The sequence below is a fragment of the Homo sapiens genome, chromosome 14 (assembly GCF_000001405.40).
Source record: "Homo sapiens chromosome 14, GRCh38.p14 Primary Assembly".
Lineage (NCBI taxonomy): Eukaryota > Metazoa > Chordata > Mammalia > Primates > Hominidae > Homo > Homo sapiens.
The window spans coordinates 101,867,223-101,879,538 of record NC_000014.9 but is presented as its reverse complement, the minus strand read 5'-3'; the positions used below and the strand labels follow the sequence as shown (position 1 = coordinate 101,879,538).

General features: G+C 41.8%; 1 protein-coding gene across 29 annotated transcripts in view, besides 3 other annotated features; it reads right to left on the bottom strand.

The window, feature by feature from the left end:
• Window positions 1–12,316, bottom strand: part of PPP2R5C (protein phosphatase 2 regulatory subunit B'gamma) — a 167,420-nt gene that overhangs the window by 48,454 nt on the left and 106,650 nt on the right. The window lies entirely within an intron of this gene.
• Window positions 681–830: an enhancer, noted in NCBI's record as "active region_9057". NCBI's record gives its function as "activates an Ori minimal core promoter by ATAC-STARR-seq in GM12878 lymphoblastoid cells {active_cell/tissue: GM12878}" and the evidence as "EXISTENCE:reporter gene assay evidence [ECO:0000049][PMID:35858748]".
• Window positions 3,049–3,118: an enhancer, noted in NCBI's record as "active region_9056". NCBI's record gives its function as "activates an Ori minimal core promoter by ATAC-STARR-seq in GM12878 lymphoblastoid cells {active_cell/tissue: GM12878}" and the evidence as "EXISTENCE:reporter gene assay evidence [ECO:0000049][PMID:35858748]".
• Window positions 3,439–3,508: a silencer, noted in NCBI's record as "silent region_6104". NCBI's record gives its function as "represses an Ori minimal core promoter by ATAC-STARR-seq in GM12878 lymphoblastoid cells {active_cell/tissue: GM12878}" and the evidence as "EXISTENCE:reporter gene assay evidence [ECO:0000049][PMID:35858748]".

The window sequence follows — 12,316 nt, the reverse complement described above, 5'->3', positions numbered from 1 at the left end:
GACTCTGGGAACAGCCTGTGACATCAGGGCCTGAGGAACCATGGCGCCTGGAAGGAAAGCACGGTCACTGCTTCCGAGGTTTCTGGGGCTGCCCATCAGGGATACAGAGGCCAGAGCAGGAGCCGTAGGGCCACGCCGCCCAGGAAGCTGCCAAGGGAGAGAGGGGTCAGCTCACCCAGAGACGAGGCTGTAGGTCTTGGGGGAGAGGAAACAGCCGTCCCTCTGGAAGAGGCCTGCTGCCCAAGAGTCACAGACATGCCACAGAGGAAGAGACCACCATTCTGGCCGAGGCCACAGGGAGCAACTGAGCAGAACAGGCAGCTGCCCTTCCCCTCTGCTCTGGGTTCTGCTCAAAGCCCCGGGGGAGGGCGGGCAAGAGGGGCTCGGAGCCACCCTTGCTTCCCCTCCTCTCCCACAGCATGTCCCTCCCTGGCCAGGCTGCCTGGGGTGCGGCTTAGATGCCATTTGCAGAGGGTCTGAGATGAAAGCTTTAACCTAGATTGGATTTCTGTGACCAGGGATGACTAAGAAGTTAACCAACTTGCCTAAGATGTTATTTAGGCACAGGAAAGTGTGATTTCACCCATCGTGGTTAAAGGCGATAACTGAAAAAAAGTAAAATGTCCCCGACTGTGCCAGCTGGCCGTATGTGTCAACCCGGCTAGGCCACAGTGCCCAGCTGTCCAAACACTGCTGTGGGTGTTCCTGTGAAGGCATTTTATAGATGTGGTTAACACCTATAATCAATGGACTTCAAGTAGCGATCACTCTTGAGAATGTGGGGGCTTCAACCAGTCAGCTGAGAGGCCTGTGAGACCCAAACTGCAGCTTCTCTGAGGAGAGTCCACCTGCGGCCTGCAGTGTCCACCACGGCCAAGTCTCGTGCCCGCTGCCTGTCCACGGAGTCCAGACCTGCCCGCTGGACTCACCCACTGCAGAAGGCAAGTCCTTGAGATCTCAATCTCTGTCTCTCCTGCTGTTTCTCTGCACAGCCCTGACTGAGGCACCCAGTCAGCTGAGATTCCTAAGTAAACTGGTGGTTTCTACTAGCAGGAAAGCTAGTGATTAGGGTTTCCAGTTGAAGCTCTCCCGCACAGTGACAGTCAGCCCAGCAGCTAGGCCCCGTCTCAAACACCTGCACACTCACTGAATCCTTGATGCTGAGCTGAGGGCCTGCAAGGTGACTCAGATGGCTTGCTCTGAACACAATGTCCTCTTTTCAGTGTCTGTCATGGACTCAATGCTTGTGGCCTCCCTTCCTCACATTCATGTTAAAGACCTAAACCCTGGTGTGGCTGGATTTGGAGATGGGTCCTCAGAGAAAATAATGAAGGGTGAATGAAGTCATAAGTGGGGCCTTGGCCCTCCAGGATTAGTGTCTTTGTAAGGAGGGATGGTAGAAGGCTCACACTCGCCTTCTCTGCACTTGCTCGGAGCAAAGGCCATGGGAGGGCACAGTGGCCGTCTGCAAGCCAGAAAAGGCCCTCAGCAGGGAACAAACCCTGCTACACCCTTGAGTTTAGACTTTCCAGCCTCTAGAATGGAGAGAAGACACATTTCTGTGGTTTAAGCCACCAGCCTGTGGTATTTTCTTACGGCAGCCTGAGCAGACTGATACAGCGTCCTTGACTGATGACCGACCTAGGTCCGGGAAGGTTCATTCCAGGCCAATTCTGATTGATTGAAAGTCATTTCTCATGTGTAAGGAAAAAAACTTGCACTCCTAACTTCTACACACCTTTCTTACCACATTACATTGCATTAATTTAGTGCATATCTCTAGAAAAGGTTAAGTAAAAAGTAATACTGGGGCGGGGGGAAGGAACAGAGGGCCAACGGTCTATCACCTCAAATTCTTCTTGGGTTTCTGACCTAGCAACATTTCTTAACACAAAAGCTGCAGGGGCGAATCAGGGGCAGGAGCCCCAGGTACAGAAACCTGGGGTGCTGATGTCTGTGTGCAAATGTCACTGCCATGCTACCTGGATGCATGGATCCGGTCTGAGGAAACAGAGAAGACATCAACGTTATGCAGTGAACACCAAAGAAGCTCTGAGGTCTAAGGAGTCCCGGGTCTTCTGGGCAGCACACAGGGTCACTGTGATCTCTCAAATGAGACCTACGGATCCAGCGCACACCCAGAGGCACAGACGCAGAATCACGCTGCCCAACAAAGGCAGCACAGCCTCATGGAAACAGTCTCTCTACACCCTCTTCCCACCTAGAAGAAGGACCTCAGACCAAACAGCCTGCCTGAGCCTCAATTTTCTCCTCCATTGGAAAGGGTAAAGGCCAGGCGCGGTGACTCATGCCTGTAATCCCAGCACTTTGGGAGGCCGAGGCGGGTGGATCACTTGAGGTCAAGAGTTCAAGAGCAGCCTAGCCAACATGGTGAAACCCCATCTCCACTAAAAATACAAAACTTAGCTGGGTGTGGTGGTGGGTGCCTGTAATCCCAGCTACTCGGGAGGCTGAGGCAGGAGAATCACTTGAATCTGGGAGGTGGAAGTTGCAGTGAACCGAGATTGCACCACTGCACTCCAGCCTGGGCAATAGAGTGAGACTCCATCTCAAAAAAAAAAAAAAAAAAAAAAAAAAGCGTAAATCCTTTTTTTATTTTTTGCATTGGGCTGTGGTGAGAATCACAGAAAACACATGCAACAGCACTTACTAAATGGGAAAACATTATGCACGAACAGTTAGCATTACACAGCACTTCCCAAACGTTTCTGACTGTTTGACCTCCACATGAAAATAATGGCACGCACGTGAGTGCATACGTATGTCTGCATGTGATTCACACGGCCCCATCTGTGCCAGGACCGTCTCTGGTTAATATCAGGAAGCACCTGCTTCTGCTGCCTCCCTGACACTTCCACTTTCAGTACTTACATCAGTCCTGCAGATGTTCTCCAAATTGCTAAATTTATTAAATTAGATGTAAACTAGAATGGCCCAAGAAGCAACTTTACGGAAAATTCTTACAATTCAGCAATATCATGCAGCCTTTCTGTATGTGTTATCATTCATTACCAATGAGTGAATATTTATGCCGTAACATAACTGCAGCAGTGTAACATATAAAAATTTTAAGACATGAAGGGATACATTAAAAAAAAAAACCGCTGACAGTCTAACTTTAGAGGCAACAGGAAAGAAAGGTTTGATTATTTACAGTTCTCTGTTCAAAACCACAAGGGTTATTCTGTTATTTATTCTCTGTTTTATTCATGTCAACAGGATTTATAACAGATGAATCCATCAAAGGCCAAATTACAGTTACTGCAGAACACTTCCTCCTGTGATGGAACTGTTAGGTTCTACGAGTCATATTGCTAAGAGATACATTTCTGGGAAGGGCAGAAAGTGTTAAGCCCCTTCGCAATATATATATATTTAAGTACAAAATTGTCATTTGTTTGCAAATGATATAGCTGGAAAACAGAAGCAACAGACAGACCATCACAACTAGACTACCACATGCAAATATCAAAAATATGAAACCAACAGCAACCACCTTTCCACTAACAATTAAGCAAATACAAAAAAGAAACAGAGACGAAGACTCCAGCTACCCAGACACAAAAACTACAAAGTGCCTGGGAATTACTGACCTAGTTACAAGGCCTTGATGGAGAAAGCAGAAAACTCTAATAAAAGGCACTGAAGAATGCCCGAAAAAACGGAGGAACCTTTGATGTGGAATGAGATCATATTACAAAGATGGAACTTCGCAGAGCAATGTATAAAGCAGACACAATCTTAAACTGAATTTTTGATGAACTCAATGAACTTAACCTAAAATTTAGGTAGAATAGTAAAAATCGTAGTAGCAGTCTTAAAGGGAGATACTACCCCTTTCCCCATTTGTAAAGTGAGTTTGAATCTGCTTTCATGGCACCAGAACTCAGCTATCATCTAGAGAACATAAATGCACAGCAATCCCAGCACCTACCACTGTGCCTGGCACCTAGGAGGTCCTCAAACACTTGCTGAGAGTAAATGGATCCTGGGAAAAGCACGCATCAGTCACCTTATTAACTGCAACACCAATTAATTACCTGGAAACTGTGAAAAATGTCTCATTAAACCTTTACGTCTCAGCTGCAAAATAATTACAGTCCTAATTGGGCCCCTAATTTTAAGCTCTTCTATGATGCTGTACATTTTCTTTGGAATATTTATCTCAAGTATGACTGGGTGGCCGGGAAGTCCTTGGTTTAATATCTTCCTGCTGGCCCTGGCACACAATGAGTGCTCGGCAGTGAAGAGAGGTAAGGGAGAGCAGAGCCTTCTTCCCACAAATCTACCTCGCGCTTCCTCCACAGCAAGAGCTGCTTTCAAAGAATCGATTTCACCTCCAAATAGATGCCATGATGTGACAGTCAAGAAAAGAACCACAACATTGAAAATTCTTACTTTGAATAACTTGCTATTTTTACAATCTATTCAAATATGTTCCTAAATAGCAGTTAAAGATATGGAAATAAAAACTTACGGGCTAGGCGCGGTGGCTCACCCCTGTAATCCCAGCACTTTGGGAGGCTGAGGCGGGCAGGTCACCTGAGGTTAGGAGCTCAAGACCAGCCTGGCCAACATGGCAAAACCCTGTCTCTACTAAAAATACAAAAATTAGCCAAGTATGGTGGCACAGGCCTGTAATCCCAGCTACTCTGGAGGCTGGGGCAGGAGAATCGCTTGAACTTGGGAGGTGGAGGTTGCAGTGAGCTGAGATCGTGCCACTGCACTCCAGCCTGGGCGACAGAGCAAGACTCTGTCTCAAATTAAAAAAAAAACAAACAACTTACAAACCTTTGTAGAATACTTAATAAAGGAAATTTAGTCTAAACTTTTCAAACAATGAATATTTTAATTTTCTACAGTTTCATAACAAGATCATCTTCAGATAAGCATGAAAATAAATCATTTACAGTTATGTGCATGAGTTTATATTTTTTGAGTTTAGAATATTTATACATAAGAAATAATTCATAATACTTATAATTCAATTCAACTAGTGTCATTTAAAGATAACACTGGATTTGGAAGTGCTCTTAAGTTATTTACTCTGGGCCAAAGATTAGTTTCGTATAGATTCTGAATGATGTATTCCCAATGTTTTTATTACGAAAAATTTCAATGCAATAAAGTTGAAAGAATTTTATAGCGAACAGCTATCATCTAGATTTTACCATTAGCATTCTAATATATTTGCTTTATCATGTATTCTGATTTCTTTTTGCAGTAAGGTATGAGAAAGTTTAGTAATGCTTTAGCATAGCAGAACAACATACTCTCTATCCAACGTGATATAAATCAACTGAGAAGGGAAGTTTCAGAGCTAAACTCCTTATCACTTCCCAGTCATGTATGCACAGCCATTTCCCCTAACCCCAAATGACGTATGAAATTATGGCATTATAAATTATGCAAACAGTCTTTCATTTTTATAATAATTGCTAGATCCCCTGGGTGGACGGAGTTAAGTGTTTATTGAGTATCTATTATAAATGAAGCAGACTTATGCTTCCAGATGAGATGGAGTAACAAGGATGAGGTTTATGCTACTGCCTGAAACAACCAAATATTTGGGCAAAAATATATAAAATTACGGTTTTCAAGACACTGGATTTCAGACAACGAAGGATAAGGACAGTGATCCCTGAGATGGGAACAAGTGAGGCACGTCCCACACCGCCCCAGGCTCCTGCCTTGATAGATTTTTAGGTTGTAGTATAGGCAGAAAGAACCCAGGTGGGACCCAGGATTCAAACTGGATTAGAATTTGCAAGGCAGAGTTCCACAGGGGAGACAGCTGCACACAGAGAAGAACTACAGTGATTTATTTGTAGAGGTCACTCAACTATTCAGCAGAGTACAGATCAGCATATTTGTGTGAGAAAACTACCAGAGGTTGGGAAAAGAACCACCTGAAAGGATTAGTGAGAACCCAGTACTTGTTCGGGGCTGGGAACAGTGTCTGTTCCCACCAACCAGATGGGAAAAATTCATAATCCATAGGGCACTGGCTTCCTAATCAGAAAGGTCTCAGTGGTGGAGAATAATTAGCTCTGGTTTTAATATAACTGTTCCTGCCTAAAACATCTGAAAAAGCAAGAACTGAAAGGATCAAACTATTTCCAAGTAACTTAATTGCATCCCCAAACAAATCTCAAGAACATGAATAGAGATATAGCACTCAACAAAGCAAAATTCACAATGTCAGACATCCAATTAAAAATTACCAGACACGCAAAGAAGCAGGAGAAGGATTTATAATGAGAAGAAAAACCAGTCAACTGAACTAAACTGAAATGACACAAATGTTAGAATTGGCAGACAAGGACATGAATACAGTATTGTGTCCAAAAAGTTAGGTGGACGTGAAAGATATTTTAAAAAGACACAAATCAAACCACTAGAGATGACAACAACAATATGTACCCACAGATCTCTAATTGCTTAAGTAAATTTGCTCACTTAATTAAAAAAAATGTGTGAAATGAAAAATTTACTGTAATAAAAATTAACAGAATAGACATGGCAGAAAAGATTAAAGAAGTTGAAGAAAGCAAAGGAAACTATCCAAATGTTACACAGAAAAAAAAAAAAGAATTAAGAGAAATAGAGCATCAGCATCAACTCTAAGAAGCCTAATACACGTTATTGGGATCCCTAAAGGAGAGAAAGGGTCATGGGACAGAAAAAAATATTTGAAGAGACAATTTCTCAAACTGATGAAAATTATAAACAAACTCTAAACACAGGCAAAATGAAGGAAACCATGCCAAGGCCCATCATAATCAAATGACTTAAAAAGAGACAACTGTGAAAGCTCCCAGAGGGGGAAAGGGTACATTATGTCCAAAGGAACAAAGAAAAGAATGGCAGGAGACATCTCATCAGAAATAATGCAAGCAAGACAACAGGCGAGCAAAAGTTTTTCAAGGATAAAACGGTCGACACGGAATTCTATACCAGCAAGCAGATCTTTCAAAACTGAAGGCAAGACCAGGCTCACCCCTGTACTCTCAGTACTTTGGGAGGCCAAGATGAAAGGACTGCTTGAGCCCAGGAGTTTGAGACCAGCTTAGGCAACCTAGTGAGACCCTGTCTCCACAAAAAGTAAAAAAATTAGCTGGACATGGTGGCATGTGCCTGTCATCCCAGCTACTGGGGCAGAGTTGGGGTTGGGGTGTGAGGTGGGAGGACTGATTGAGCCTGGAAGTCAAAGCTGCAGTGAGCCGTGATTGCACCACTATACACTGGCCTGGGTAACAGAGCAAGACCCTGTCTCAAAAAAAAAAAAAAAAAAAAAAGGCAAAAGAAAAGAAAGGCTTTTGCAGATACACGAAAGCTAAAAGAATTCATCATCAGTAGACCTGTGCTATAAGAAATATTAAGACAGTCCTTCAAGCAGAAGGTAATTGATATCAGATGGGTATCTGAATCTACACAAAGGAATGATGAACACTGAAAATTGTAACTATCTGGGTAAATATAAAAGATTTTTAATACCCGAAAACTTAAAGTATAATAAAAAAAGATTTTTAAAAATCACTTAAATTTCTTTAAAACAAAAATAATAAGATATTGAGGGGTTTATGTATGATAATAGCGGAAAGGCTGGGAGAGGAGAAATAGAAGTATACTGTTGTAAATGTCTTATATTCTATATGAAATAGTATGTTATCGCTTGAAGGTAGATTGTGATAAGTTAAAGGTGTGTTCTAGAAAAGACTAACAATTAAAATCAAACAATATGGAGTTATCATAAAGAAGCCAACAAATGAGATAGAAGGGAATCATAAAAAGTACTCAATTGATCCAAAAGAATGCAGACAAAGAAGAGAAACGATAAACAGGTGGGACAAATAGAAAAAAAATAGGAAGGTGGTACATTTAAACCCAAGTACATTCATAATCACATGAAAAATAAATGGTTTCAACACCCTGAAAGACAGGGATTGTCTGACTGAATAAAAAAGCAAGACTCAGCCGGGCACAGTGGTTCACGCCTGTAATCCCAGCACTTTGGGAGGCCGAGGAGGGCAGATCACGAGATCAGGAGATCGAGACCATCCTGGCTAACATGGTGAGAAACCCCGTCTCTGCTAAAAATACAAAATTAGCCGGGTGTGGTGGTGGGCGCCTGTAGTCCCAGCTACTTGGGGGAGGCTGAGGCAGGAGAATGGCATGAACCCGGGAGGCGGAGCTTGCAGTGAGCAGAGATTGTGCCACTGCACTCCAGCCTGGGTGACAGAGCGAGACTCTGTCTCAAAACAACAACAACAACAACAACAACAACAAAAACCAAAACAAAAAAAAACCAAGACTCAACAATACGCTATCTACCATACACCCACTTTACGTATAAAGATACGAACTGATCAAAAGTAAAAGGGAAGAAAAAGACATACCATGCCAACACTAGTCAGAAGAGCGCTGGAATGGCTATATTAAGGTGAGACGGAGTGGATTTCAGAGCAAATAATATTACCAGCAATACAGTCATATCTATCATGGTAAAAGAGTTAATTCACCAAGAGGGGATATACACTGAATATTTATATGAATATATATAACATGAAGCAAAACCTGATATAATTACAACAAGACAATAAACAATTACAAATGGGAAATAAACAGATCTATTTACAATGACAACCAAAAACCAAAATACTAATTTACGAGTCTAAGAAGATATTTATAGCATCTGTTTGCTGACAACTACAAAACAAGAAGACCAAAATGGGGAGACATGCTGTGTACATAGGCTGCAAAGCTCACACTGTTAAGAGGTCAATGGTCTCCAAGTCTACATGTTCACTGCATGCAGTAAACCCCTGGAGAATATTTTGTAGATAACAAGCTGATTTTAAAATTTATATGGAAAGGTAAAATAACTAGAATAGTCAAAACAATTTTCAAAAAGAAGAAAGAGGTTATAGCAGTCACACAACCTGATCTCAAAATTTACTATCAAGTACTGTACTGAAGACAGTGTGAGACTGGCAAACAGAGATACACAAACACGCGACAGGACAGAGTCCAGAAGAAGACTCACAACATGCTCAACTGATTTTTGACAAAGGAACAAAAGCAGTTCAATGGATATTCATCAGTCTTTTCAACAAACAGAACAATTGGAAATCCATACGCCAAAGAACGAACTGCAGACAAAATGGATCACAGACCTACATGTAAAATGTGAAACGATGAAGAAAATATAGGAGAAAAATCTTTGTGAGCTTAGGTTTGGCAGACTTCTTAGATATGCTACCAAAAGCACTACTGATAAAGGACAAATCCTAAGTTGGACTTTATCTCAATTAAACATTTTTGCTCTGTACAAGACACTTAAGAACAAAAAAAAAGACAAGCTACAGACTGAGAGAAAATATTTGCAAATCATGTATCTCGCAAAAAATCTGTACCCAGATATGTAAAGAAGTCTCAAAACTCAAAACTCAAAAAAAAAAAAAAAAAAAAAAAAAAGCCCAATTGAAAAACAGGCAAACAATTGGAACAGACAATTCACCAATGAAGATATACAAACGACAAAAAGCGCAGGGAAAAAATGCTTGGGCCAGGTGTGGTGGCTCACGCCTGGAATCCCAGCACCTTCATAGGCTGAGGCAGGGGGATCACTTGAGCTCAGGAGTTCGAGACCAGCTTGGGCAACACAGTGAGACCTTGTCTCTACTAAAAATACAAAAATGAGGTGGGTGTGATGGGCGCTTGCAGTCCCAGCTACTCAGGAGGCTGAGGTGAGAGGATCACCTGAGCCTGGGAGGTGGAGGCTGCAGTGAGCCATGATTGAGCCACTGCACTCCAGCCTGGCTGGCAGAGCGAGACCCTGTCTCCAAAAAACAAACAAACAAGCCTGGCATAATTAGTCATTAAGGAAATGCAAATTAAAATCAAAATGAGATAAAAGGACTGATGACACCAAATATTGACAAAGATACGGGAGGCATGAGAACTCACGCACTGTTGGGGGAATCACACGGGGCAGCCACTTTGGAAAACGGTTTGGCAGTTCCTTAGAAAGCTCAACACACACTTACCATTCACCTAGCGATTGCATCCCTATGTGTTTACCCAAGTTAAATAAAAGCTTATGTCTAAAATCGGTATGTAAGTATTTATAAAAGTTTTATTGCTCCAAATAAAACTGGAAACACCTCAAATATCCCTCCATAGGAAATGGATAAGCAAATGGTGTTACTTTTATATAATGAGACAACACTGAGAAGGAAAAGGAACAAACTGTGTGACAACATGGACGAATGTCCAATGCATCAAGCTAAGCGAAAGAAGCTAGACCCAAAGGCTATACACTGAATCCATTTCTATGGAGTTTCCATTCTGGAAAAGACAAAATGATGTGATAGAGAACAGACTAGTGAGGGGCAGAGAGAAAGGAAGGGGAAGGCTCTGACTACAAAGTGAGCATAAAGCCATGTTTCTGGAGGCTGAAGAAACTGTTCTTCTACTCGGGAGGCTGAGGCAGAAGAATCACTTGAACACAGGAGGCGGAGGTTGCAGTGAGCTGATATGGTGCCACTGCACTCCAGCCAGGCAACAGAGACTCCGTCTCAAAAACAAACAAACAAACAAACAAACAAAACCAAAAGAAACTGTTCTATATCCTGACTGTGGTGCGGAAGACGTGACTATACACATTTATCAAAGTTCCGAGAACTGGCCACAAGAAAGAGTGAATTTCACTATATGTAAATAAAAAATTAATTTAAAAAAAGTTATGGAAAGATATTCACTAGGTCATAAGTTCCCAAAACTTCTTGGTTCACAATGCCCTTGGTGTCTTAGTAATTTCTTCACTGCACCCCTAGACCAAAAGAAATACCTAACAAGTTTGGACATCTGAAAACACCCAGCTTTACTGAGATATAATTTATATACAATTAAATGTACATATTTAAAGTGTAAAATTTGATATTTAACATATGCATATATCTGTGAAACAATCATATAATCAGATAATGAACATACTCATCATCCCAAAAGTTTCTCAGCAGCCTTCTGAAAATACAATAAACATGAATTGGCTGATTGGAGGTAGAGATGGGTAGAACTGGGGAGGGGTGAAGTAGGAAAAAGATTAACTTTTTAAAATGCTTTCGTATTTGTTTCATTTGTTATCACATAAGCATGTATTTCTTTTATAATTTAAAAACATCAAAGGAAAATCTCAAAATCGTAAGAACAAACAAACCTCTAAAAAACAGCTTACTGATATTTAAAGTAGAAAAATCATTCTCTGGATTTCAAAAAGTACTTGGGAATGCATGATTTAAATCCTCACTTGAAATAAATTTGACTGCAACTCCATTGGTCAATGTACTATCCCTCTTAATTCAACACATTCTTTCCTCTCCCAAACTATCATCACCCTTATAGCAAGTAAAACTTTCCAGAACACACTGTAAATATCAGCTATAAAAATAGAAGAAGGAACGTGCCCCACATCAGTCCCTAAGTGAAGCACAGGACACCCATCTGGGGGTGCAGGGTGTGAGACCTCCCCCAGGACCCGGCCAACAGATCCTAAGAACACTCTCATGCCCATAAAACGTGTAAGTCAACATCAAATCACTTACAGACAGTGCGGATTAAAATAATGTGATCAACTAGTTTTCCCTGGAAACCAACAAGAGTCCTGATAAAAACAGTACTATATTACATACGGATAGCTTGTTTTTATTTTATCTTTTTAATTAATTAATTAATTTTTTTGATGGAATCTTGCTCTGTCGCTCAGGCTGGAGTGCAGTGGTGCAATCTTGGCTCACTGCAACCTCCACCTCCAGGGTTCCAGCAATCCTTCTGCCTCAGCCTCCCGAGTAGCTGGGACTACAGGTGCCCGCCACCATGCCTGGCTAATTTTCATATTTTTAGTAGAGATGAGGTTACACCATACTGGTCAGGCTGGTCTCGAGCTCCTGACCTCAGGTGATCCACCTGCCTCGGCTTCCCAAAGTGCTGGGATTACAGGCATGAGCTACCGCGCCTGGCCGCTTGTTTTTATTTTTAAGAAAGAAAAATATCTTTACTGGTTTTTGATGATGACAAATGTGGTACATAATTATTAATTTTTTTTTTTGAGGCAGAGTCTTGCTCTGTTGCCCAGGTAGGAGTGCAGTGGCACAATCATACCTCATTGCAGCCTTAAGCTCCTGAGCTCAAACAAGCCTCCCACCTCAGCCCCGACCGAGTAGCTAGGCATATAGGTGCAGGCGTGCGCCACCACACCCAGCTATTAAAAAACTTTCTCTTTCTTCTTGCTTTT